Genomic DNA, 26,735 nt, shown 5'->3' on the forward strand with positions numbered 1-26,735 from the left:
GAAATATGTAGACACATACACACACATACACACTAGCATGTCACACAAGCACATGGAACCACAGACATACTAATACATGTGCACATAAACATATGTGCAAACACATATACATGCATTCATGTACATATACATGTTCACATACATTGTCATGTATACCCATTGTGCAAATACATGTGTGCACACACAGACATACCAAGGGCACACTACACACATATATGTACATATACGTGTATATACATGCAACATATACACATGCATACGCACACCCTATACCTGTTTCCTAAACACACCCTGCCCTTCTCTAGTAACAGCCTTTCCTCTGCCAGGAATGCCCAGCCTCTCCATCTCCCTCAGTTAAAATTCTGCTCCACCCTCTGCGTCTAAGAAGCTCTCCCCCATCAGCCTCCAATCTCCAAAGTTAAGATGACTCTCCCTCTTCTGAGCTCCCATAGTTTGGTCTGACACACTTATTTGGCTCCCCAAGAAGGGGAGAGTTGAGGCCAATGTTGAGACTCACCACGTTCCCTCCTCTCCACCTATGTCTCTTGGCAGAATGAACTGGCTGGGCTCTTGTCTGCTGAGTCCCCGGGGCAATGCCTATTCATCTTTATGCTTTCAGCACTGACCACAGGGCCTGGCATCAATTAGAAGCTAAATCAAATGTGTCGAATTGAGCTGCTGAATTAGTTGTCATCCAGCTCCTGAATGGATGGGTTGCAGAGGAAAAGTTCTGGAGAAATACTCCACAGTGTGGTCCATGGATCTGTGCCAGTCTGCAAACTGTTACTGGTCCATGATGATTAAGCAGTTTGCACCAGAATGTTTATCAATGCACTGCTTCCTTCATTGAGAAAGTCTTGGTACAAAATAAATAGCAACTAAACTAATCAGTGTACTTAGCTACAGAGTAGATTTACATTCTGGTACAAACTGTTTAATCATCATGGACTAGTAATAAACAGTTCATGGACTGGCTCCTGTGAGTAGCTCTGTTCTGAACTCTAGAGGTTGGCAAAATACGACCTGTGGGCCAAATCTAGGCTATTGCTTGTTTTTATAAATAAAATTTTATTGGAACCCAGCTATGCTCATTCATTCATGCATTACCTATAACTGTTTTCACACTATAATGGCAGAGTTGAGTAATTAGCAGAGATAGCATCACTCACAAAGCCTAAAATATTTACTATCTATCCTTTTACAGAAAATGTTAGCCTTGGGCAAGCCCTACCCACTGTCTGAACCTGAGTTTTCTCACTCGAACAAGTGTGGGACCCTGTGACCCCCACTTTTCCTTCTGATGCCAACCTTTTCTGCTGTAGAAAGTCCCTGGAGAGCAGATGGCCCAAACTGGGAAGACCCTGAGCAGCGAGGCCGGCCTGCCCCTCCTCCCGCTCTACCTCTCACCATGGACTCGGACTCTGTCTCGGCCTCCTCAGGATTCGGTTCTGGTTCCACCTCCGCCTCCATCTCTGGCTCTGGTTCCACTTCCTCTTCCTCCTGCATCTTGGTCTTCCGAGGGGTCCCTGGGGGCTGAGGCAGCACCCTCTGGACCCAGCCCAACATCCTGATGCCTGTAGGAGACAGAGTCCTTAGCCCTCCCTGGAGCACTCACAGTAGCTCCCGCCACTTATGGGCCACTCTTATGAGTTGTACATTTCCTTTTCCTTCATCAACTTTAAAAACATTTCGACTGGGTGCGGTGGCTCACACCTGTAATCCCAGCAATTTGGGAGGCTGAGATGGGCCGATTGCTTGAATCCAGGAGTTTGAGATCAGCCTGGGCAAGACAGCGAGACCCTCGTCTCTACAAAATATTTTTTAAATTAGCCAGGTGTAGTGGCTCACTCCTGTAGTCCCAGCTACTCAGGAGGCTGAGGTGGGAGGATCGTTTGAGCCTAGGAGGTCGAGGCAGCAGTGGGTCATGATGCACCACTGTACTCCAGCCTGCACAACAGAGTGAGACCCTGTCTCAAAAAATATATAATATATATACACATACATATATATATTTGATATACATATACACATACATATTACATATATACACACAGATATGTGTGTGTGTATATATTTCTGCAATTATATCTCTAGGTATTTACCTTATAGAATTACTCAAGGCCATAAATATATGTGTACAAAGAAGCTGGTTGCAACAATGTTATAGCAAAAGATGAAAAACACCCAAATATTCATCAAGAGGAGACTGGTTATTGGAAAGTACCTACATGTAACTAAATGTTCATCTCTAAGAGGGGCATGTATTAAATAAGTTACACTATACCCAATAATAGAATATTATGGGGGCATTAAAAAGAAAGAAGCAGTCTAATTGAGCTAGCAAGAAGATGTGCCTGCTCTGAAGTCAAGTCATGAGCAGATCAGTTAATGTCTCTGTGCCTCAGTTTGCTTGTCTGTAAAATGGGGATATTAATAGTACCTACCTCATGGGCTAATTGTGAGGATAAAATGAATTGATAAGTGTAACATACTCAGGCCAAGGGCAGTGGCTCACACCTATAATCCCAGCACTTTGGGAGGCTGAGGTGGGTGGATCACTTGTGGTCAGGAGATCCAGAGCAGCCTGGCAACATGGGGAAGCCCCTTGTCTACTAAAAATACAAAAATTAGCTGGGCATGGTTGCAGGCACCTGTAATCCCAGCTACTCAGGAGGCTGAGGCATGAGAATCTCTTGAACCCAGGAGGTAGAGGTTGCAGTGAACCAAGATCGTGCCACTGCACTCCAGCCTGGGTGACAGAGTGAGATCCTGTCTCAAAAATAATAATAATAATAATAAATGTAACATACTCAGAACAGTGACTGGCACATGCCGAGGGCTTAATAAATGTTGACTATGACTATTACATGGTATCAAATGAAAACACTAATTGTGTAATATGCATGTACTACATAATCTCATTATAAGTAAAAATATTCATTATGAGTAATTACATGAGTGGAAAATCTGTCTTAAGATAAACTTAACCTATGTTCATCATTTTTTAATTTTTAAGATAAAATGGGCTGGGTGCAGAGGCTCATGCCTGTGATCCCAGCACTTTGGGAGGCCAAGATGGGAGGATCACTTGAGCTCAGGAGTTCGAGACCACTGTGGGCAACATATCAAGACCCTGTCTCTATTTAAAAAAAAAAAAAAAAAAAGCCTGTTATGGTGGTGTGCACCTGTAGTCCCAGCTACTCAGGAGGCTGAGGCAAGGGGTCGAGGCTTCAGTGATCATGCCACTGCACTTCTGCCTGGGTAACAAAGCAAGATCCTGTCTCAAAAAAAGAAAAAAAAATGGGCCTGTTGTGGTAGCTCACGCCTGTAATCCCAGCACTTTGGGAGGTGAAGGCAGGCAGATCACCAGAGGTCAGGAGTTCGAGATCAGCCTAGCCAACATGGTGAAACCCCATCTCCACTAAAAATACAAAAATTAGCTGGGTGTGGTGGTGTGCACTTGTAATCCCAGCTACTCCGGAGGCTGAGGTGGGAGAATCACTTGAACCCGGGAGGCAGAGGTTGCAGTGAGCCGAGATCGTGCCACTGCACTCCAGCCTGCCTGGGTGACAGAGCAAGACTCCTTCTCAAAAACAAACAGACAAACAAAAAGGCTGGGCATGGTGTGGCTCACACCTGCAATCCCAGCACTTCAGGAGGCTGAGGCAGGCAGATCGCTTGAGCTCAGGAGTTCGAGACCAGCCTGGGCAACATGATGAAACCCTGTCTCTACCAAAAATACAAAAAATTAGCCCAGCGTGGTGGCACGTGCCTGTAGTACCAGTTACTCGGGAGGCTGAGGCACGAGAATCACTGGAGCCCAAAAGGTGGAGATTGCACTCAGCCATTGCACTCCAGCCTGGTCGACAGAGTAAGACCCTGTCTCAAAACTGAAATAAAATGCTTATAGTGCTATATTTTAAAAAAAGAAAGAAAGAAAAAGATAAAATGCCAGGTAAGACTTTTTTCATGATATACTGTGTTATTTCAGTCCTACCTTAAGTACAGGTTGTTTCTGGTTGATTTCTCCTTGGGGAATGGGGAGCCCCAGCCCTTATGACTGAACCCCTGCAGGATGGCCTGGCCAGTGCGCAGCGTGCAGGTCAGTGTGTGCTAACTCCTAGCCCTAGATGTGTTCTTGCCCCACATGAGTGTGCCCCACCCCTCTCCCAGCCATGGGCAACCCGGGCTTTGGCAGAGAGTCTGTATGCCCCTTTCTGCCAGGGACCCTGGCCCCAGCTGAAGAGGGCAGCCCAGGCCCAGGATCCTTGCCCCCAAGCCCAGCTCCCCAGAGCCCACGGCTGTGCTGCCTGTCCTCTACTTACAGCCCTGACCTCTGTTCCCACTCTGGCATCAGCAGCCCAGCCTCTCCCACGAGAGGCTGTGGTGGGAACACAGCTCTAAGTGTCAGATCCCTGGCTCAGCCTCCCAAAAAATGAACTTGGGCCAGACATGACCCCTCTGGTCTTCCATTTCCCTGAAGGTGGGGGCACAGACACAATGTTTTCCCAGGTCGGGACTGCCAGAGCTCACATGTTGGGATAGCAGATTTCACTGACCCCAGCCAGCCCCAGGCAGCCCCGAGAGCCAGGGCTGAGCTAAGTGCATTCTACCCATGATCATACTCATCCTCGCTCTCACCACCACGCCCCGCCCAGCCCCTGCACTCAGTAAAATAAGAATTTTCATTATGTAGCACAGAAAGGTCAACAGAATCGCCTGAAGCAGCACAGCCGGCAGTGGCCAACTTGAGTTTACACTCAGGTCTGCCCGATTCCAGCTGCCCCACATGTATTCCCAGGTAGTCGTGGCATTTGCCGAGTGTTGGCCTCTTCCGCGGGCCAGGCCTGTAGACCCTTCCCAGCAGGCAGCAATTCTCGCTTGCATTTCTAAACCTTCTGGAAATGACTAAGGAAGCCTCCCCGATCCCCCATTTTTCTTTTTCCTCCTAAATGAGAATTTTTGCAGGTCCCTCCCATCTTTCACCCGTGTCCCTGCTGACTGCACTTTGATGAGGGAGGCTCAGGTGGGAAGGGGGACCCACGAGTGGCAGCTCGGGGAGCCATGGTGTTGCACCACCAGCATTTCCAGAGTCTTCTGGAGAGCTAGTGAAAATATAGATTCCTAGGTCCCCCAAGTCCTCCTGGGGGACCTAGGAATTTGCATTGTACAAGCTGTCCTGAAAATTCTGATGCCCGCTAAAGTCCAAGCTCCACCAGATAGAGGGAAGCCACAGGTTTCCCACCGTGCCAGTTTGGTCCTACCTAAATGCCTTTCTAGAGGGAGAACATGGGGATCCCCTCGGGGTCCCACCGAGCCTCCACCTCACCCTGAGTTACCTGCTTAGATGCCAACCGCCAGCCAGGAATTGCCTTCTTGCTGCCACTCGTAGCTGGCCCCTCAGACACAAGGAAGATTAATTGGCAGTAGCTGGGCCGTGTGCAAAGGATTAGCAGGTGCTGAATGGGGGAGGGGGAGAAAAGAGGCTGTTGATGCCCAGGAAACCAGCAGCACCTCCCAACTCCCAGGGTCCAGCAAGGATGTGGGCCCCAGGGAAGGGCTCCTGCATGGCCCAGGTTTGGAGCACCATGGGTTGCCAGGGGACCTGCCCGGCTTACCAGGGGCCTGGCTTCCCATACACCTTGGCCAAGACACGGAGTGGCTGATGGGAGAATAACAGCTTGGAGTTCCCATGTGATGCCTGGAGACTCCTCATGGTAGCAGGGGCTTGTCAGCTCCCACTCAGCGGTGGCAAGAGGTGTACCCCAACTCTCCAGCCCCCAGGCCAGGACGCAGGCAGGTTCTTTCTGGCTTAGAGTCTTCTCTGGGCAGGGTCTCAGCAGCCCTGCCTTGGGCTCTGCCAGAAAGGCTGTGTCCCAGGCCTGGGCCTTGAGGATGGATCCAAGACCCGGCAGATGACTGAGGCATCTGACCTGCCCTGTGAACTGAGGCTGGACACTTGAAGGGATACAGAGATCTAGGAGGAGAGGGTGCAAGGGACAGGGCCCAAGGAAGAGGGGCTCAGTGTGGTGGCCCTGAGGGATATTTGGCAAAGGGCAGGACTTGACTTAATTATCCGCACCATTTCTAGAGTTCTTCCTTTCCTTTCCTTTCCTTTTTTTTTTTTTTTTTTTAAGCCACAGTCTCTCTCTGTCACTCAGGCTAAGTGAAGTGGTGCAATCACAGCTCATTGCAGCCTCAACCTCTCAAACTCCTGGATGCAAGCAATCCTCCTGCCTCAGCCTCTCATAGTATTGGGATTACAGATGTAAGCCCCTGCACCTGGCCTAGAGCTCTTCCTTTGTGCCTGGCAGTGTGCCAGCCTTGGCACACTGAGCAAGACAGACATAGGCCCTGTCCTCATGGAGCTTACATTCCAATGGAGGAGATTACTGACAAATAAAGAATATTGCAAATTATGCTAAGTGCCATAAAAGAAACAAACAGGGCAGAAGCATGTTGTGGAGGGCAGTAGGGGCAGGTAGGCAGGCCCCTATGACGAGGTGGATGTATATTTGAACTGAGACATGAAAAGTAAGAAAGACTCAGCTGTGAAAAAAGCTGGGTGAGTGGTGCTCCAGGCCAAGGACACTGCAACGAGAAAGGTTCTGAGGCTGGAATGAGCCTTGAGGAGCAGAATGGGAACCGGGGAGCCTGGAGCTTAACGGGTGCAGGGGAGAGTGGTGGGAGATGAGGTTGACAGAGGGCAGGGGCAGATGTTGTGAGACTGTAAGCCACAGGAAGGAGTGTAGTTTTAGATGATGGTTTTGAACAGGGGCTGGGCATGATCTGTGTGGCTCTGTGTAGCAGGCAAGCATGGAAACAGGAAACTGGTCAGGAGGCTGCGGAGGGACAAGCTGATTGGTGACTGGATGACCCCTGGCTTCCCCTCCAGTGTTGGGCTTCAAGACCTCTGATAATGCAACCTCTACATGGCAAGTGATTCACAAGAAAGTTCTTTCTGCCAGCAAGGCCAGACCCCAACGGTAAAGCTCAATGTACTCCCTGACCCTTCCCTACAAATATGCCAGGCTGCAGGGGTCAGAGCTCCTCCCCAAGGAACAGCAGCAAGCCCTTCTGCTCTGCTTGGGCCTGAGACTAACACAGGTGACATTCGCCCTTGCCTGCAGCCTGACGGGAGGGATGATGGGGCTTGGACTATGCTGGTGGGAGTACAGATAGAAGGGAAAGGGGAGGAAAAAGGCGGGCATTGAGGGGCTCACCCTGGGAAACTGGGTAGCTGGTTTAGTGGGTGAACCAGTAAACCGCCCCAGGCTGGTTTACACATGTACTGAAAAGAAGAAGCCTGAGGCTGGAAGTTTGGAGGAAGAATTTTGGAGGGAAAATCATGAGCACTACTTTGTTAAGATGTCTGAGAGAGGCTGGGTGCAGTGGCTCACGCCTGTAATCCTAGCACTTTGGGAGGCCAAAGCAGGTGGATCACCTGAGGTCAGGAGTTCAAGACCAGCCTGGCCAACATGGCAAAACTCCGTCTCTACTAAAAATACAAAAATTAGTCGGGTGTGGTGGCAGGTGCCTATAATCCCAGCTGCTCTGGAGGCTGAGGCAGGAGAATTGCCTGAACCCGGTGGGTGGATGTTGCAGTGAGCCAAGATCACACCACTGCACTCCAGCCTAAGCAAAAAAAAAAAAAAGTCTGAGAGACATCCAGGTTGAAATGTGTGTGTGTGTGTGTGTGTGTGTGTGTGTGTGTGTGAGACTTAGGGAGAGGTCTACAGGAGATAGAAATTTTGGAGGCCTCAGCTTGCAGATGATGCTTAAAGCCACAGGACTGACTGATATCACCTCGGAAACCCAAGGAAACAAAGATGACCAGAGGTGGCACCTGGAACACGGGCTCACTCAGAGGATGCAAAAAGAGCAGGAGCTGGTAAAGGAGCCTGAAGGAGCTGCCAGGGATGGGGATGGAGAAGCAGAAGCATGGGGTGAGGTGAAAGCCAAGAGTAGTGGCTGTGTTGGGGTGAGGGAATGATCCAAGGGGCCACTGTCTGAGCTGAGACTTGAAATGCGTCCTGAGATTGGGCAACTTAGAGGCAGTTGGAGCCCCTGCAGAGTGGGAAGGAGGGAAAATTAGATGAGCCTGAGGGAACAGTAGTGGGCTCTAGGGTGGGGAAAATGAGCAAAACACAGCCACACACAGTGGCTAAAGTTTGGATGAAACTCATGTGCATATATATGGAGAGAAAGAAGCCAGATTCAAAAGAAGACCCCAGTGATCCATGCATACAAAATTCCCAAAAGGCAAAATTAGTCTGTCCTGTCTATGGCTACAAACACAAGTACATTTGCCACCTCTAGTTTTCTATAAAGCCTAGAGTTGTTAAATAAAGTTTTCCATAGTTGCCCATAAATAAAAGCACAGGTTGTACTACAAGATGGGAGAGTGGTTCCTTCTTGCTGGGTTGGGGGTTGTAATTGGGAAGGTGTATGTGGAAGCTTCTAGGGACTGGCAGGGCCAATGTCTTGCTTTCTTTTACTAACTTGGCTGGCATCTATTTTTCAAAACAAGCTTATGGGAATATATATGCCATAAAATTCACCCATGGTAAGTATACAACTCAATGACTTTTATATTACTTATTATTTATTTATTTATTTAAGACAGGGTGTCACTCTATCACCCAGGCTGGAGTGCAGTGGCGTGATCATAGCTCACCGCAGCCTCGACCTTCTGAGCTGAAGTGATTATCCCACCTCAGCCTCCCAAGTAGCTGTGACCACAGGCACATGCCACCATGCCCATTTAATTTTCATATTTTTTGTAGAGACAGGGTTTCGCCATGTTTCCCAGGCTGGTCTCGAACTCCCGGGCTCAAGCAATCCACCCACTCGGGGTTCCCAAAGGGCTGGAATTACAGGCGTGAGCCACCGCCCCGGCCTAACTCATGATTTTTAACACATTGACTGAACTGTGCAACTCTTGCCACATCTGGTTTTAGAACATTCCCGTTGCCCCAGTAAGACCCCTCACACCAGATGATAACCACTCTTCATTCGTACACCCCAGTCCCAGGCAACCACACATCTGCTTTCTGCGTCTATAGATTTGTCTTTCCTGGACATTTTATATAAATGGGTCATACAATATGTGAGTTTTCACATCTGGCTTCTTTGATGTAGCGTAATGTTTTATGAGGTTCATCCACCTCGTAGCTTGTATCAGAACTTCATTTCTTTTCATTGCCCAAGAGTATTGCATGGTATAGACGCACCACAGTTTATCCACTCATCAGTGGACACAGGTTGTTTCCACTTTTTGGCGATACATCATGTTGCTATGAACATTTGTGTGCAAGTCTTTGTGAAGATATATACTTTTTTTTTTTTGAGACGAAGTCTTGCTCTTGCCGCCCAGACTGGAGTGCGATGCTGCGATCTCGGCTCACTGCAACCTCCGCCTCCCAGGTTCAAGCGATTCTCCTGCCTCAGCGTCCTGAGTAGCTGGGATTACAGGCTTGCACCACCACGCCCAGCTAATTTTTGTGTTTTCAGTAGAGACAGGTTTTCACCATGTTGGCCAGGCTGGTCTCAAACTCCCAACCTCAAGTGATCTGCTCACCTCAGCCTCCCAAAGTGCTGGGATTACAGGTGTGAGCCATCGTGCCTCACAATATACTTTCATTTCTCTTGGGAAGCCTCCTGGGGTAGAATCTTCCAGATGACCCAATCATATGGTACATTTCTGTTTCATTTTTTAAGAAACTGATAAACTGTTTTAAAAGTAGTACTCCATGTCTTGACCAGGGTGGGTGGTAGTTATACGGGGTCTCATTTTGTAAATTATTAGTTACATTAGATATTTATTCACTTTCTGTATTTCTTCTATTTTATAACTTTAAAAGAGTCAAGAAATAAATTGGGGGTGGGGTGGTGAGTGGAGTCAACTCTGGGAAGGTTTTTTGTAAGGGGTAGCAGTTAGGAATGCTGTTCTGGAAGCTGTATGGAGCACTGGAGGAGGAGCAACTGGGGAAACAAATCCTACAAGAATTTCACAGGAGGGGCTCCAAGACCCATCAGGTTCAGCCCCTGGGCAGGTATATGCAAAAGCACATGCCAATATATGCAAATAAGTTAGGATCTCCTGGGGTTTCCTCACCTTGGGGGTCTGTCTCTAATGGTTGTGACCAGGATGGTGGGCAGGCCCCAGGGCTTTGGGGTGCTGGCCTTGGGCACTCACAGCCTGGCTTTTCTGGGAGCCTGCAGTCCTGCAGGGGCTGAGGGTGGAGTATCATCTGCTAATCCCTGGCCTGCTGAGTCCACCACTCTCCCTGATCCCCTCACGCTTACCCTGGATACTGGCCACAGCTAATCTCCACTCCTGGAGACTCAAGGGCTGGCAGACAGTGCAGTGCCCTCTTCCCTGAGGGTTCCAGGGAGGGGAGATCCCTCTCAGCATCCAGATCCTCCTAACGGCAGATCCTAGAGTCCTTGCCTAACACAGAGGAGAGCCTTGAGTCCCAGAGAGAGGCGGTAATTAGCCCAGGATTACACAGCCTGCAGTGGGCTCAGTAGCCATTTCTGGCCTGCCTTGGCCTGACTACCTCCAGGGAACCCCAGCTCCCCATCTGACATTTCCCAAGATGCCTGGCCTGTGCTAAGGCCTGGGAGACCACAGCCTTCAGGAAGGCTGGAAGGGAGTGGCCAGAGCACAGGAATTCTGGCACAGGCTCTTGTTAGAGCCTGTAGTTGCCAGGGTTGCTAAGGAGTGGGTGCCTCAGAATCAGGCTGCAATGGGCATTGTCTGTGCACAATGTTCCTTTATTCTGCTGCTGTCCATAATAAGGGCTCGTCCACCTCCCTTCCTCTTCTGCCCATTGAGCAGTCAAAGAACTGAAAGTCCTTATAAGCCTGTGCACCTGGGCCTGGGCCCTACAGATAAGGTAGCTGCTATTGGTGAGTCAGAAGCAGGGAGCCCTTGCTCTCTTCCCCATATCCGTGATCCCCCTCCCTGTCCCTCCCCAGGCAGTCACATCCCCTAAGGCAGCTTCCCCATGCCTTGTCACCATGCCCCCTCCCTGCTCCTCCATGATCTAAGGTCCTCTCTCCTCCTGCCACCCTAGCTTCCACCTCCACCTCTCACCTCTAACTCAGGGTCAGGAAGAAAGCAAGCTGTCTCAACAAATTCTCACTAAAGTGTAAATGACTGAAAGGCTCCTGGGACTATCTGCTTTTTAAAGGGAGGCACTGGGTATCCAGTAATGCTTTTCTAGTTTAAATATATCATGTTGCTCCCCTTCCTGAAAATCTTTCTGAGTCAATCTGTAGAATTTTGGGTAAATAGCTAGGGCAAGTCCATAATTATTCACCCAGAGGTATACGGCATACTAAGCTACATTCTGAACCCGCTTGCTGCTGCACTTTCCTGCTTATTATTTAAGAATAGACTCGCCAGGCAAGGTGGCTCACACCTGTAATCCCAGCACTTTGAGAGGCTGAGGCGGGTGGATCACTTGAGGTCAGGAGTTCGAGACCAGCCTGGCCAACACAGTGAAACCCCGTCTCTACTAAAAATACAAAAACTAGTCACATGTGGTGGTGGATGCCTATAATCCCAGTTCCTCAGGAGGCTGAGGCAGGAGAATCACTTGAACCCAGGAGACAGAGGTTGCATTGAGCCAAGATGGCGCCACTGTACTTCAGTCTGAGCAGAAGAGTGAGACTGTCTCAAAAAAAAAAAAAAAAAGAAAAGAAAGAAAGAAAAAAAAACGAATAGACTCAAATACCACCTCTTTTAGACCATTCCTTGAATGTCCTAACCCCAGCCTCCCCAGAAACACACACTCTGTACTGACCTCCCTCACAGCCATGGCACAATGTGAGTGTGTGTGTGTGTGTGTGTGTGTGTATGTGTGTGTTGGAAGGGGAGTGGGAGGGTTGTCTCTGTTATCTTCTGTTATCTGAATGTTCCTGCCACCTCATGCTGAGCTCCAGAAAAATGGCCTGGCACACAGTAGGTGCTAAATAAATGTTTGGCAAGTAGACATCGGCACTGGCCAAGGTTGTTTTCATGCAGAGAAGGGTGTCTGGCCAGCATGAGCCCAGGGTGAGCCCCTTAGAACCCTCTGCCCCCCAGCTATGGCCCGCATCATTGACCTGGTGCCCTGGGACGATGGCTCCACACATGTGTATGCCTCCCCGGCCATCCTGCTTCCCATGGAGCGGCAGCGCAACCAGCTGGCGGGCGTGAAGCAGCAGCTCTACCACCCAGCCCTGCCCACCCTGCGCCACATGGACAGGGACACCGTCAAGGCCTGCCTTCCTGATGAGCACTGCCAGTCCACCACCTACTGCCGCAAAGGTTAGGACACCAGTGTAGGATCCCCTTTGGGGAAGGGGCAGATGGTTTCAGGAAAGAGGGAGACAGATGCAAGGATGAAAGAGGCCAGTCCCAGCTCTGCTGCTCCCTGCCCAGGACACTTTGGCCAGGTCTGAGCCTCTGTTTACTGCTCAGTACAATGAGGATAATTGACAAGGCCTACCTCAAAGTGTTGTTGTGGGGTTAGAAGGAGATAAGGCACAAAAAACACTTAGAGGCTGGGCGCAGTCCCAGCACTTTGGGAGGCCAAGGCAGGCTGATAACCTGAGGTCAGGAGTTTGAGACCAGCCTGGTCAACATGGTGAAACCCCATCTCTACTAAAAATACAAAACTTAACCAGGCGTGGTGGCAGGCACCTGTAATCCCAGCTACTTGGGAGGCTGAGGCATGAGAATTGCTTAAACCTGGGAGGCGGAGGTTGCAGTGAGCCGAGATCACATCACTGCACTCCAGCCTGGGCAACAAGAGTGAGTCTCCGTCTCAAAAAAAAAAGCACTTAGAGTAGTGCCTGGCACATAATATGTGCTCAAAAAGTATTGCTGATGCCATTGTTGTTATTGTTGTTTTGTTTTTTGAAGACAGTGTCTTACTCTGTCGCCCAGGCTGGAGTGCAGTAGCATGATCACAGCTCACTGCAACCTCGACCTCCCAGGCTCAAATGATCCTCCCATCTCAGCCTCCCGAATAGCTGGGACCACAGATACGTGCCACCCTGCCCTGCTGATTTTAAAAAATTATTTGTAGAGACAGGGTCTCCCTATGTTGCCTAGCCTGGTCTCAACTCCTGGGTTCAAACGATCCTCCTGCCTTGGCCTCCCAAAGTGCTGAGATTACAGGCATGAGCCACTGTGCCTAGCCTGTTGTAATTAATGGAGAGAGAACTGGGCAGAGGTTGACAGGTGCAGTGGTAGGAGTCATAACAGTAGTAACTTCTGCCCAAGCATCTCTGTATGTGGAAAAGAGAGAGAAAGACCTCTCCTCACAGCCCCCATGCAGGAGAGGAAGACGTGTGGGCCTTCAGGGCAAAAGAGCCCCACGGGCCTAGTGAATAACCCCGCATGGACTGAGGAGCTTGCGTGTGGAGGGATTTAGAAGGTATTTAGCAGATAAAGTCAACAGGAGTAGGTGCAGGCGGGGCAGGGTAGGAGGCCAAACAGGGGGAGTGCAGGCCCATACCTAGGCTCCAGCTTGGGTGACAGGTGGGCTGAGGGTGTCAGAGACCGCACGGAGATTACCAGAGTTGCCACATGGGCCCTAATGGGAAACACAAGTGAGGGAAGTGGGTGGGGAGGCCGTGGGGAAGGAACACTCCACAGGGAAAAGGGGCACCCACACCTGCCCTATTTAAACGGCAGCCACGGGGTTCCCCACAGACTGTGCTATGTTGGAGGGGCCAGCCAGGTCACCAGTTCTTCCAATTTCCCGCTTCTGAGAGAAGCCAGGAATCTAGATTTTTAAGGAAAGCTCTGATGTAGATATGTATTTTATTGTAAGCATATGCTTTAAGTAAAAGTAATAGTCAGAACTTCAAAGCTCAAAATGCTATAACAATATGCACAGCAACAAGGCTCACTCCCACTGCCCCCGCATACAGGTAACCACCCCCCCACCACATTCTTAGTTTCTGATGTCTCTCCCTGGTTTACTAATGGGAATATAAACACATGTTATTTTGCTCCCCAACTTTTTATTACTGTTAACTGAAAACCCAGAAATTTGTAAATTTAGGCAGGGTACGGTGGCTCACACCCACAATCTCAGCACTTTGGGAGGCCAAGGCAGGCAGATCACGTGAGGTCAGAAGTTCGAGACCAGCCTGGCCAACATGGTGAAACCCCATCTTCACTAAAAATACAAAAATTAGCCGGGCGGGGTGGCGGGTGCCTGTAATCCCAGCTCCCAGGCTGAGGCAGGAGAATCACCTGAACCCGGGAGGCGGAGGTTGCGATGAGCCGAGATGGAGCCACTGCACTCCAGCCTGGGTGACAGAGCGAGACTCCATCTTCAAAAAATAAAAATAAATGTATAAGTTTAGAAAAGGAGACTTTATTTCTTACAAGGGGTTATAGCTGCCAGGTGGCCATCCCACAGGCTGGAAAGTGTGCCTCCAGCTTAAGCCCAAAGATAGGCATGTCAAAGGAGGAGGGGTTGGGTAAGAGCTTTATGTTCAAAGGGTTGGCTAAACATACATATTCAATAGTTTATAGGAGGAGCTATGAATATTCATGAAGATAGTACTGACATGGGCATATTGAACAAACATGCATGTAACATACAACCCATGTTCGCTTTGAGGTGGAGACTTAACCTTTAAATGTATTACAATTAGTCCCTATACGTCAAAAGTTCTTTTCAGGACGCGAAGCCCAGCAAGTGAGCAGCCTCTGTATGCTGGGCAGGACCAGTCCATGGTTGGTGGTCTTCTTACCTGGAGAAAGTTACTGAAATCAGCCTCTTATGCAATCAAAGGCATAGCTGTGGCTGGTGGATCAGGGGGTCAGTTCATCAGCATCTGTGAGCTGTATGAGTTGTAATTGTTTTAATATTGCTTATCTCAAGTCCAGGGCTAGAGAAAAAGAAAAACCTCATGGCAATTAAAACATAGCTTATTTATTTTTGTGTTTTGCTTTTCGTTTTGTTTTGTTTTGTTTTTTTAGACAGAGTTTCTCTCCATCACCCAGGCTAGAGTGCAATGTCAAAAACATGGCTCTTTACAGCCTCGACCTCCCAGGTTCAGGTGATCCTGCCACTTCAGCCTCCTGAGTAGCTGGGACTACAGGCACACACCACTATGCCAGGCTATTTTTGTTGCTGTTGTTGTTGTTTGTTTGTTTTGTGTGGAGACAGGGTTACACTATGTTGCCAGGGCTGGTCTCCAACTTCTGGGCTCAAGTGATCCTCCAGCTTCAGCCTCCCGAAGTGTTGGAATTACAGGCGTGAGCTACCACGACCAGCCTGTAGTTTATTCTTTAAGTGTAGGGGTGCGTGACTTAACCCTTGCCTGGCATGGCCTTAGGTCCTGTTAATAATCTGGTATCTTGGCCGGGCGTGGCGGTTCACGCCTGTAATTCTAGCACTTTGGGGGGCCAAGGCAAGTGGATCGCCTGAGGTCAGGAGTTCAAAACCAGCCTGACCAATATGGTAAAACCCTGTCTCTACTAAAAATACAAAAATTAGCCAGGTGTGGTAGTGTGTGCTTGTAATCCCAGCTACTGGGAGACTGAGACAGGAGAATTGCTTGAACCCAGGAGGCGGAGGTTGCAGTGAGCCGAGATCGCGCCATTGCACTCCAGCCTGGGCAACAGAGTGACACTCCGTCTCAATAATAATAATAATTATTATTATTATAATAATAATTATTATTATTATTATTATAATTTGGTATCTTATTGCCACAAAGAGTCTGTTCTCTTAGTCTTGTAATCTCTCTCTCTCTCTTTCTCTTTTTTTTTTTTTTTTTTTTTTTTTTTTGAGACAGAGTCTCACTCTGTCACCCAGGCTGGAGTGCAGTGGCGCTATCTCGGCTCACTGCAACTTCCGCCTCCCCGGTTCAAGTGATTCTCCTGCCTCAGCCTCCTGAGTAGCTAGCTGGGACTACAGGCGTGTGCCACTACGCCCAGCTGATTTTTGTATTTTTAGTAGACATGGGGTTTCACCATGTTGGCCAGGCTGGTCTCAAAATCCTGACCTCAAGTGATTGGCCTCCAAAACCACTGGGATTACAGGCGTAGCCACCGCACCTGGCCTTGTGATTGCTAGTTTAACATTAATGCTGGTCATTTATTGTGTCTAAACCGCAAAAAGGCAGGGGTGGAATGAAGCATGTCTGACCTCCTGTCCCATTATGGCTGGGAACTCAGTTTTTCAAGGTTTTGGGGGATCCCCTTAGCCAAGAGGGGGGTCCGCTCAGTCAATACATTGCGGAGACCTCAGGATTTTATTTTTAGTTTACATGATAAACATTTTCAAATGGAGAAAAGTTGAAAGAATACTACTATGAGTACCCACCACCTTCCTCCTGCTTCAGTTGATTTTTGCCATATTTTTGCTTCTCTCGCCCTCTCTCTTACATTCTTGGACACCCTTTAGCAAGCAGCTCCCAATGACAAAAACATCCTTCTACATGACACAATACCATTATCACACCTAGGAAAGCTAACAATACTTCTACAACATCTAATATCCAGACCATATTAAAATCTCCCCAATTGCCCTCAAAGATGTCTTTTCTGGCTTTAAAATGATTTTTTGGAACAAGAATTCAATCTAGGATTACGTATTTCAGTTACTTGTTATGTCTTTTGTCTTAGTCTAAAACAGTCCACCCAGTTTCCATTGCCCACCATCATACTGACTTTTTAAAGTCTCTAACAGTTGTGTTGTAGACAGTCCCATATGGTGAATTTGAGCCACTGTTTCTTCATGGTGTTTCTTATCTTGTTAATCTATTTTCTGTAAACCAGCAGCTAGGTGTAGAGATCTGAATCACCAGGTTAAACACTGCTGGCCAGAATCTTTCACAGGCGACAGATGCCGTGTTTGCCATAATGCTGCAGCAGGAGGCACAGAATTTCATTATCACATTATTTGTGATGCTAAGTTTGATTATTTGGTTAAGGTGATGACCTGAATATATATTCTCTGTTTCCAACAGTCTATGTTTAGTCTACCATTTTAAAGCAAACAGTAGGCCGGGCGCAGTGGCTCACGCCTGTAATCCCAGCACTTTGGGAGGCTGAGGTGGACAGATCACTTGAGGTCAGGAGTTCAAGACCAGCCTGGCCAACATGGTGAAACCCCATCTCTACTAAAAATACAAAAATTAGCCAGGCATGGTAGCACGCACCTGTAATCCCAGCTACTCGGGAGGCTGAGGCGTGAGAATCGCTTGAACCTGGGTGGCGGAGGTTGCAGTGAGCCGAGACCGCGCCACTGTACTCCAGCCTGGGCGACAGAGCGAGACTCTGTCTCAAAAAAAAATTTTTTTTAAAGCAAATGGTAGCATATTGTATATACCCATCTGCACCTTGGAGTTCTTGTATAGAGAAATTCCTCAACTTGTTAATTTATTTATTAAAAACAAGGTCTCGCTATGCCACCCAGGCTGGAGGGCAGTGGCATGATCACAGCTCACTTGCAGCCTTAAACTCCTGGGCTCAAGCAATCCTCCTGCCTCAGCTTCCTGAGTAGCTGAGACTACAGGCTCGAGCCACCATACCTGGCATTTTTTGTTTTGCTTGATTTCTAGGCACTCTTTCAATATTAAGGAATATTAATTAATATTAATATCTGTAAAATAAGTGGAAATATTTTTTCCATTTGTTTTTTGACATTTGTTTTTGCCATGTAGAAGTTTATTTTTATGTATTTAACTTATCAATCTTTTCTTTAAAGCTTCTGGATTTTTAATTAAAATTATTAAGGCCTTTCCCATCCCAAGATTATAAAAGAATTTGCCCATGTTCACTTTTTACATTGGAATCTTTGGAGTTTTATTCTGTTGCAAAGGTAAGATGTGAATACTATTTTATCTTAGATTTTTTTTAAGTTGTCAAATTAAAAAAAAATTTTTTAAGAGAGTCTCGCTCTGTTGCCCATGCTGGAGTGCAGTGGCGCAATCTCAGCTCACTGCAACCTCCACCTCCTGGATTCCAGTGATCCTCGTGCCTTAGCCTCCCTAGTAGCTGGGACTACAGTCGCGTGCCACCACACTCAACTAATTTTTCGTATTTTTGGTAGAGATAGGGTTTCACCTTGTTGCCCAGGCTGGTCTCGAACTCCTGAGCTCAAGTGATCCACCCGCTTTGGCCTCCCAAAGTGCTGGGATTACAAGTGTGAGCTACCGTGCCCAGCCTTTTTTTTCTTTTTTTGAGACACGATCTTGCTCTGTCACCCAGGTGGAAGTGCAGTGGCATGATCACTGAAGCTTCGACCTCCTGGACTCAAGTGATCCTTCTGCCTTAGCCTCCCGAGTACCCGGGATTACAGGTGCTCGCCACCATGCCTGGCTAATTTTTGCATTTTTAGTAGAGATGGTCTTTCACCATGTTGGCCAGTCTGGTCTGGAACTCCTGACCTTAAGTGATCCACCCGCCTCGGCCTCCTGAAGTGCTGGGATTACAGGTGTGAGCCATCGTGCCCGGCCTCAAAAAATTTTTAAAGTACAGTGTGGGCCAAAGTTCTCCTATGACCTCTGACCACTGGTGAAGGAGACACCTCTTCTCCCTTTCTCTTGTTTCAACAGATGAATTTGACAACGCCCATTTTACACTCCTTGGGGTCCCCAACAAACCCCTGCAGTGTTTGGTGAGTGTCCTTTGCCCTGCCCTTGGGTTTGCTAAGGGGCACCAGCCCCAAGCACCTCTGGTCCTGGGATCTACACCCCGCGCACCTTCTCAGGTGCCTGCTTGGGACTCCCGCTCCCCACATCACCCCATCCGGGTTCACGACTTCGGGCGCCCCCTCGGTCCAATGCACCGGGCCACTTGTCAACTGAGGCCTTTGGGATGGACTGGGATGGCTTCCCTAGGCTCCTGCGGCTACGGCCGCGCGGGCCTGACCCCCGTGGCCCTGTCAGGACATCACCGCCACAGGCCAGAAGCTTCGCAACAGGTACCACGAGGGAAAGCTGGCGCCCATCGCGCCAGGCATCAACCGAGTGGACTGGCCCTGCTTCACGCGCGCCATCGAGGACTGGTCCCACTTCGTGTCCTCGGCCGGGGAGTTCAAGCTGCCTTGCCTGAGGAAGCGAGGTCAGTCTACGGGCCGCTGAAGGAACTGCCGGGCAGGTGGGCCGCGGGGCTGGAGCAGGGAACGTGGACTGCGGACGGGAACGCAGGCGGCGGGCCAGGCAGAAACAGGGCGGGGCCGCTGAGATGAAGCTGTGGCACTTGCGGTGGGTGGAGCCGAGACGTGCGCGCGGATCTGGAGGCAGGACTGCCCTTGGGGAGGGGGCGGAGCCAGGCGGAGCCTTCGGGCCGGGGGCTTTGCCCTGGTGGGGCAGCGGAGGCGGGACCTGTTCTCCGTACACGTGTGGGTGGGGCTGGATTGTGGGCGGGGCTGGATTGTGGGCGGGGCTTAGATGAGGAGGCGGGGCTTGTCCTGGGGGGGGGCGGATGAGCGCTCGAGAGGGGCTTTCTGTTCGCAGCGGAGGGTCTCAGCGGCTACGCGGTGCGGTACTTGAAGCCCGACGTGACCCAGACCTGGCGGGTAGGGAGCGCTGCGCGCAGACCCGTCCCTGAGCGGGGAGCGGGGGTCCTGGTGGGGAGCGGCTTAAGCCGGGGGTTGAGGGGGGAGGAGACCCAGAGCAGGGCCTCCCAGTCTTCAGGACCACGGTCTCTAGCAGGAAGCCCTGTGTGGGGCGTGGGCAGGGCGTCCGTGCTCCCCCGACTCACCGCGCCCCTATCCCTGCTGCCCGCCTCAGTACTGCCTCAGCCAGAACCCCAGCCTGGACCGCTACGGACAGAAGCCCCTGCCTTTCGACTCCCTGTAAGTGACGCCACGCGCCCGGGGACCCCATATCTGGAGGAGGGAGGATGAGGTCTGGGCCGCTTTCCTAGCGCACAGGCAATGCCCCTTGAAAACGTGAGAACTGGGAAAAATTGGCTCCAATACACCAGAAACAAATTGCAATTTCAAATGAATACATGTGTAATTCCTACTAAACGGAGCACCTTGCCCTCCCTGACAACTCCACCCTTGCGGAGTGGAGGCGTTCGCATTGGGTGAAGGCGCCCTGGAACCCTTCAGGAGGGATGGCGGGGAGAGGGGGTGGCTCCCGAGGTCGAGTGAGGCGCCCAGAGAGGGTCGCCCCTTCCCATCTCGTGCTCACCCGCCCCGTTCTTTCCCAGGAACACTTTCCGAAGCTTCGGCTCCAGCTACAGGTAGGGGAACGGTCCTGTCCCGCCCCACAGCCAACCACGTTCTCATCCGACTGCTGGGGACAGCCTCGGGGCTCCCTGACTCTGAAACCCCCCTGCCCCAGCGAGGCCTGGCGAGGAGGAGGGGCCCTCCTGGGAGGGCGCGAGCTGCTTCGCTCTGGAGAGATCCGCCCCTGGCAAATGTGCAGCCCACTGGGGTGGGGGTGGACGCGGGAGGGGGTCCACATCCCACCAGGTTTGACTGGAGGAGGCCAAAAGGATAGGGCGAGGATGTTAACTAGAAGGAGAGAAAACAGACAAATAAGAAACACAAGGGAGAGAGCCGAGAATCTGCCTTTTAGGGTGCGGAGAGGCCCTAAGGGAGGGGGCTAAGTGGTCTTCCCGGCAGGGTCGCCCCACAAGTAAAGAGATAAGATAAGAACAAGAGTTCTTATCTCCAAGATAAGCACCTCTTGCAAGAGGTTGCAGGATACTCAAACATTTTCATAACTAAGCCATCTCTCACCCTCCCGGCCCCACTTTGTACACTCCAGCCAGACTAGACTCCCCCGAAACCCAGCAGACCAAGCACTCTTCACACCTTTGCCTGTGCTGTTTCAGCGCCTAGATGGCCCTTCCTCCTCTGCCTGGAAAACTCCTTCGTGCCATTATTATTATTATTATTATTATTATTGAGACGGAGTCTCACTCTGTCGCCCAGGCTAGAGTGCAATGGCCTGATCTCAGCTCACTGCAACCTCCGCCTCCCGGGTTCAAGCAATTCTCCTGCCTCAGCTTTCTGAGTAGCTGGGATTACAGGTGCGCATGACCAAGCTTGGCTAATTTTTGTATTTTTAGTAGAGATGAGGTTTCACCATGATGGTCAGGCTGGTCTCGAACTCCTGACCTTATGATCCACCCACCTCAGCCTCCCAAAGTATTGGGATTACAGGCGTGAGCTACAGTGCCCGGCCTCCTTCATGCTCTTCAAAGCCCAGCCCAGATGTGCCATCCTCCTTGAAGTCTTCCCCCACCCTCTGCCTCTCCCCACCGGCTCACACTCCCTCCCATTGGTCACTACCTTTGTGTCCCTGAGTATCGAGTGCAATACTCAGACTATTGCACTGTCATTATTGACAGAAACCAGCCTTCCCGTCTCCCACACGGGGAAACGTTTCTGGGTTTTGCTACCATATGATGCCTAACAGAGTAGGTTCACTAAATGATTGAAAAATGGGTGAAGCTGTTCATAGTTAGGTATCAATGGGAGAGAAGGATGAGGCACAGTCAAAGGAGGGAGGTTAGCTTGAAAGCTAAGGAGGACAGCTGAAAATACAGAAAACAGGGAGCCACTGAAGTCTCCTGAGCCACATAGAGGCTGGCTGGAAGCTGTGTTTTCAGATCCTAGAGGGGAAAAGCCTGATTTTTCCCCTAGGACACCCTGGAAACCCCCACCTCACCCCTACTTCTCTCCACAGTCGTGTCAACTACCTGACCCCCTGGCATTAATCTCTGGAAAGGAGGCTGACTCCCAGGCTGCCGGACGGTGCCACCTCAGGTCCCCTGGCCAGACAGAGGACTTATGGTGGCACCAGCCATCTCCCCAGGAGTTCAGCCTAACTAGAAATAAACCTAATGCTCCCTTAGAGACACACGCAATTGTCTCTGTCTGTGTGTGTTGCACAGCCTGGGAGAGGGTCAGGGCCACAGGATGACAGTATCTTACCCTTGCCCGTCCCCGGCCAACTCCTGGAGGACTGGTGGGGGGTTGGAGAAAAATGTCTGGTGACCTGGTTTGAGAGTCAGGGTGTAAGCCGCAAGGTCCAGCCAGAATTGAGATCCAAGAGCAAGAGATGTGCTCCAGCCCCTTGCCTGCAGCCCCACACCCAAGCCCCCTCCATTTCAGATCCTGAATTTGAGCCCTAAGAAGAAAGGGAGAGGGCTAGAAAGCTATTTTTAGGTGCCTTTTTGAAGCTCTTGTCATACTGGTGTGCTCTGGGGGGCTTCCCTGTGCCTGGGGTCCCCCTGAAGGTGTGGGAGCAGGCTGGGGCAAGGGGAGCTGGCCAGGCCTATGGCCTTGATTCCTGTGACGCAACAGAATGTAGAGTCTAAACTTGCATGAGATGCATGAAGCCACTCAGAGAAGAAAGTTCCCCGCTCTCCAAAGCACCACCAATAAACATGTCATTTAAGCAAAAAGTCCTCTGCTCTATCCATGAAGCTTCAGGACTAGCCCTTGTCTACCCACCAACCATCCATTCCAAGCCACTCCTGTGAAAGGAAGGTATGATGTCCCGGGGACAGTGTGGGGACTCCTGGCCCAGGTCTGGAATAACGCCATCCAGGGGGCTAGGGAAGAGCATCTCCAGCATGGTAAGGGGGTGTATTAGTCTGTTTTCATGCTGCTGATAAAGACATACCCAAGACTGGGAAGAGAAAGAGGTTTAATGGACTCACAGTTCCACATGGCTGGGGAGGCCTCATAATCATGGTGGAAGGCAAAAGGCACTTCTTACATGGTGGCAGCAAGAGAGAATGAGTGCCAAGCGAAAGCGTTTCCCTTATAAGACCATCAGATCTCGTGAGACTTATTCACTACCACGAGAACAGTATGGGGGAAACCGCCCCCGTGATGCAATTATCTCCCACTGGCCCCCTCCCACAACATGAAGGAATTAAGAGCGCTACAATTCAAGATGAGATTTGGGTGGGGACACAGCCAAACCATATCAGGGAGTTAGGGCTGCTAGCATCTGTGCTTAGCTCCAGGACCTTTCAGATACCCTACTCCCATCCCACCTGTGGGCAGCTGGCAAGCATGGACCCAGATCAGGATAAATAGCTACCAAGCTAAAAATCTACCTGCATAGGACTTCTGGTCCTGAAACCTGGGGCTTCAGGGACCCACAGACCTCCTGAAATCATGTACAGAATCATGTGTCCACTTTGGGACTGCACTTGGGAAGCCACTGGCAGAGCCGCCTGGAGTGTCAGAGCCACATTCTGTGCCACCCAGTGTCCCCTCCAAATGACAACTCAGAGAAGAGCTGGACTTGCCCAGGGCTCACAGCAGGGATGCTAGAATCCTGGCCTGGGAGAGGTGGGCCAGCCAGAGAACCCCAGCAGACATGCTGAAGCCTGCCAGATGGCATCAAGTGACTGGGGTGTTTTTCCTGGCCCTGCTTCCTTGAATGACTGGGCAAGTCCCTGCCAGAATACAGCCCAGCGAACACTAAAGAGCTTTGCCTGGGCCAGGCCCTTTGCTGGTGCTGGGAGGACACAGACAAGATGCCCTCCCTGCCTTTGAAGTGCCTCCAGCCCAGCAGGCCCAGCCAATGAGAACCTGAAAGTAGAGGTGATCACATGAGTACACACATAGACCATGTTCTCCCAGCCCAAACCCCATGAATGGCAACCCACACCAGCAATTTAATTAAAGCTTCTTGCCCACTGATTGTAAATTTAATCCTGATTTCAATAATATAAATAGATTATAAAATATATAAATATAAATATGTATATGTATATATGTAATAATATATATTTATATAAAATATAAATATAAAAAATGTGTGCCTAAGAATAAAGGAAATGCAGAGTACATAAGCATAAATGAGTCTGCTTTCACGTACAATTTCTATTTTTAAGTGGAAGGCAATGCATTAACCATCTTGCAGACCCCATGAGATGGGTAATTTTACACCCATTTTACAGATGATGAAATGGACTCAGGAAGGTTAAGCGGCTGGCCCAAGATCTGGTGATTGGCAGAGCTAAGAATTGAAGCTGGCCTGCCTAAGCCCCCCATCCCCATCCCCCGCCTCTGGCCACCAGGCTCTACTGCCTGCCTGCTACCAGACAGATCCAAACCAAGAATGGGGAAGAAACCAAAGGGGGCTTCCTGGGGGTGGGGGCATCTGACCAGGGCTTAGAGGGAGGATAGGACGTCCCATCAGAAAGCTCTCTTGGGGCCGGGCAGGCTGGCTCACACCTGTAATCCCAGCACTTTGGGAGGCCAAGCGGGCGGACCACCTGAGACCAGGAGTTCGAGGCCAGCCTGGCCAACATGGCAAAACCCCATCTCTACTAAAAATACAAAAATTAGCTGGATGTGGTGGTGCACACCTGTAATCCCAGCTACTCTAGAGGCTGAGGCAGGAGAATCACTTGAACCCAGGAGCCAGAGGTTGCACTGAGCCGAGATCGAGCCACTGCACTCCAGCCTGGGCATCAGAGCAAGACTCCATCTAAAAACAAACAAAAACAAGAAAGCTCTCTTGGAGTTGCTGGCAGTGGCAGAATCTGCAGGTTGAGAATCCCACCCAGAGGCCAAAGGCCAGAGGCTGAGAGATGGAAAGCAGCCCATCCCCTCCCAGATGGGGCCATTGTGTCCCAACATGCTGACACCCCCTCTCAGTCTCCAGGGACTCTTGGCTCATCAGAGTATCAGAGCCACATTCTGTGCCACCCATTGTCCCCTCCAAATGACAACTCAGAGAAGAGCTGGACTTGCCCAGGGCTCACAGCAGGGATGCTAGAGTCCTAGATCACATCGGAAATCTTCCCAGCAGCCATGGCCTTGGGGACAGTCCAGCCTCCATGGCCTCACCTCTAGGCCTTCCGGGGCCTGACCCCAATCCACTACGGTGGCCCTTTATCCCAACATGAACCCCCCTACAGCCTCCTTGCAGTTCCAGAGGCTCTGGGCTTCTGTCTGCCTCCAACCTTTGTTCAGAGCCTTCCTCTCACCAGAAATACCTTCCCCCACCTCTTCCTACCCAAATCCCACCCTGCGTTCCAGGCAGGCTACTCTCAAGTCCTCCCTTCTCCCCCCAACTCTTCTCTCAAATCACAAAAACAGGGACCATAGCTGTTCTCATGGGCTAACTCATGCCCTCTGGCCCGCCCTGGGCTCATTCACTGGCTCTTTTTATTCTAACTGGACCTGGGGCTCAGGAATGGGGCCTGTGGTCTCTTCCGGAACCAACACACCAATCAGGACTAAATTATTAACTGCTACAGAGTTATAGCGGTGTCGATTACAAAGTTACCTGCAAAATGATGTCCTAACCCAGGGCCTGGGGCTGGCAATGGGGAGGTTCAGGGATAGGGTGAGGGTCCAAGCTGCGGGCAGGGGTGGGGTAGGGGTCAGGGAGAACTCGTGAACATCATATTTTGTACTAGATATCAGCAGTTTTGACATTTTTTCACTGTACCTTTTGATTCACAAAAACCTCAAAACCGTCTCACCTGAAGTTTGTGCCTTGTGCCCTGTAGCACCTGCTCAGTGCCTGGCAAACGGTAGGTGCTCAGTAATGCTTGTGGATGAACAAAGGCAGGAAGACAGACCCAGGGTGGGGATGGAGAGACACACAATAAAGAAGGAGCCCTCCCCTTGGCTCCATTTCACGGCCCTGAGGAAGACTGTGTATTCTGGCTGGAATCTTTGTAGATGAGAAAATCAATAGTGGCCAAGGCTTTTCTAGGAAGCACCACCTTCAAGGAACCAAGAAGCCATCTGCTTGAGGATTGGATGTGGAGCTCGTGAGAGAGTCTGGCCCTCCTTAGGCTGGGGGACCTAGGGCCTTTGTGGCGCTGCTTCTGTCCATCTGGGAAGATGGAGCACAGTGGGCTTTGATTCTTCAAGGAGTTGAGAGGGGGCCAGAGGGGTTGGCCACGCCGTCTGCCTGCTGCTGAAGAGCTTTCCTACTGCCCTGCCCAGCCCTGGACTGGTCCAGGCCATTGTTCCCGGCTTTCTGGCCAGCAAAGAGTGAGCAGGAGCTCTGCATGGCTCAGACCCCACTGCCTCTCCTTCACCCGTGTGCAGGTACCAGGCTCACCTGGCTAACCCCCACAATTCCAGGCCACTTTCATCACTGCGTGGCTGTGAACAAACCCTGGACCTCTTAAGCATCTGCCTCGCCCCCTTATAGGTATGGAGTGAGGCTCAGACCTGCTGGCGGATGGGAAAAGGTTTCTGAACGGTGCATGGCAGGCCGGTGGGAGGGCTGACTCTCAGATGGGAGGGCTGGGCTGGCTCGCTCTTGCCTCTGACCTCCCAGCGCTACAGTCCTTCTGGGTGGCTACTATATGCCAAACATGTCACACAGATCATTCCACTGTGCCCTTACCCTAAACCTCAGAAGAGAGCATTATTGACTCCATTCCACAGATGAGGACATTGAGGCTCAGAGAGCTTCAATGGAACCAATGAGTGGAGACGTGGGACTCTAGCCAGGGCTGCCTGTGGTGCTCTGAACCAGGACACCGCACTCAGTCTACTACGGTTCACGAGTACAGGTTCCACCCCCAGAAAGCGGCATCCTCTCCCCCGTCCCCTGCAGGGCCAAGCATAGAGCAGAGCCAGTGCATGGTGGGAGTTTGGAAAAGCTGTCAGGATGATGGGCTTCCTAGGAACATCCCCTTTGGTGGCCCAGCCTGCCCTGGCACCAGCTTCTAGGACCCAGGAGAATGGCCCCCTCCCCTTCCCACCCCTGGTGTCTCTTTCACTAGCCAGGGGGAATGACTACCTCCCAAA

The 26,735-nt window shown here is 50.5% G+C and overlaps 2 protein-coding genes across 8 annotated transcripts in view, besides 1 other annotated feature; one reads left to right on the plus strand and one right to left on the minus strand.

The window, feature by feature from the left end:
- The window catches only part of CNGB1 (cyclic nucleotide gated channel subunit beta 1), an 88,789-nt gene extending 83,381 nt beyond the window's left edge, over positions 1 to 5,408 (minus strand). For all 3 annotated transcript variants that reach the window (NM_001286130.2, NM_001297.5, NM_001135639.2), the window contains exons 1-2: positions 5,340 to 5,408; positions 1,408 to 1,574 (exon numbers count right to left, since the gene is read on the minus strand). In NM_001286130.2, the coding sequence (NP_001273059.1) occupies positions 1,408 to 1,566 (159 nt within the window). In that variant the 5' untranslated portion in view covers positions 1,567 to 1,574; positions 5,340 to 5,408. The remainder of the gene's footprint in view (positions 1 to 1,407; positions 1,575 to 5,339) is intronic.
- SPMIP8 (sperm microtubule inner protein 8) lies at positions 10,824 to 22,396 on the plus strand. 5 transcript variants are annotated; one of them, NM_199046.3, is made up of 8 exons: positions 10,824 to 10,914; positions 12,095 to 12,319; positions 18,583 to 18,644; positions 18,916 to 19,090; positions 19,486 to 19,547; positions 19,681 to 19,826; positions 20,189 to 20,221; positions 21,676 to 22,396. In NM_199046.3, the coding sequence occupies exons 2-8, from the start codon at positions 12,097 to 12,099 to the stop codon at positions 21,704 to 21,706; spliced, it is 732 nt and encodes a 243-aa protein (NP_950247.3). In that variant the 5' UTR covers positions 10,824 to 10,914; positions 12,095 to 12,096; the 3' UTR covers positions 21,707 to 22,396. The 5 variants fall into 5 exon arrangements, with proteins under 5 accessions (NP_950247.3, NP_955535.3, XP_047290033.1 ...); NM_199456.3 differs by having other exon boundaries at positions 19,762 to 19,826; XM_047434077.1 differs by lacking the exon at positions 19,486 to 19,547 and having other exon boundaries at positions 19,762 to 19,826.
- Positions 19,490 to 19,639: an enhancer, noted in NCBI's record as "active region_10918". NCBI's record gives its function as "activates an Ori minimal core promoter by ATAC-STARR-seq in GM12878 lymphoblastoid cells {active_cell/tissue: GM12878}" and the evidence as "EXISTENCE:reporter gene assay evidence [ECO:0000049][PMID:35858748]".
- Positions 22,397 to 26,735: the final 4,339 nt, after the last annotated feature.

The sequence above is a fragment of the Homo sapiens genome, chromosome 16, assembly GCF_000001405.40.
Source record: "Homo sapiens chromosome 16, GRCh38.p14 Primary Assembly".
In the NCBI taxonomy this organism is placed as follows: Eukaryota; Metazoa; Chordata; class Mammalia; order Primates; family Hominidae; genus Homo; species Homo sapiens.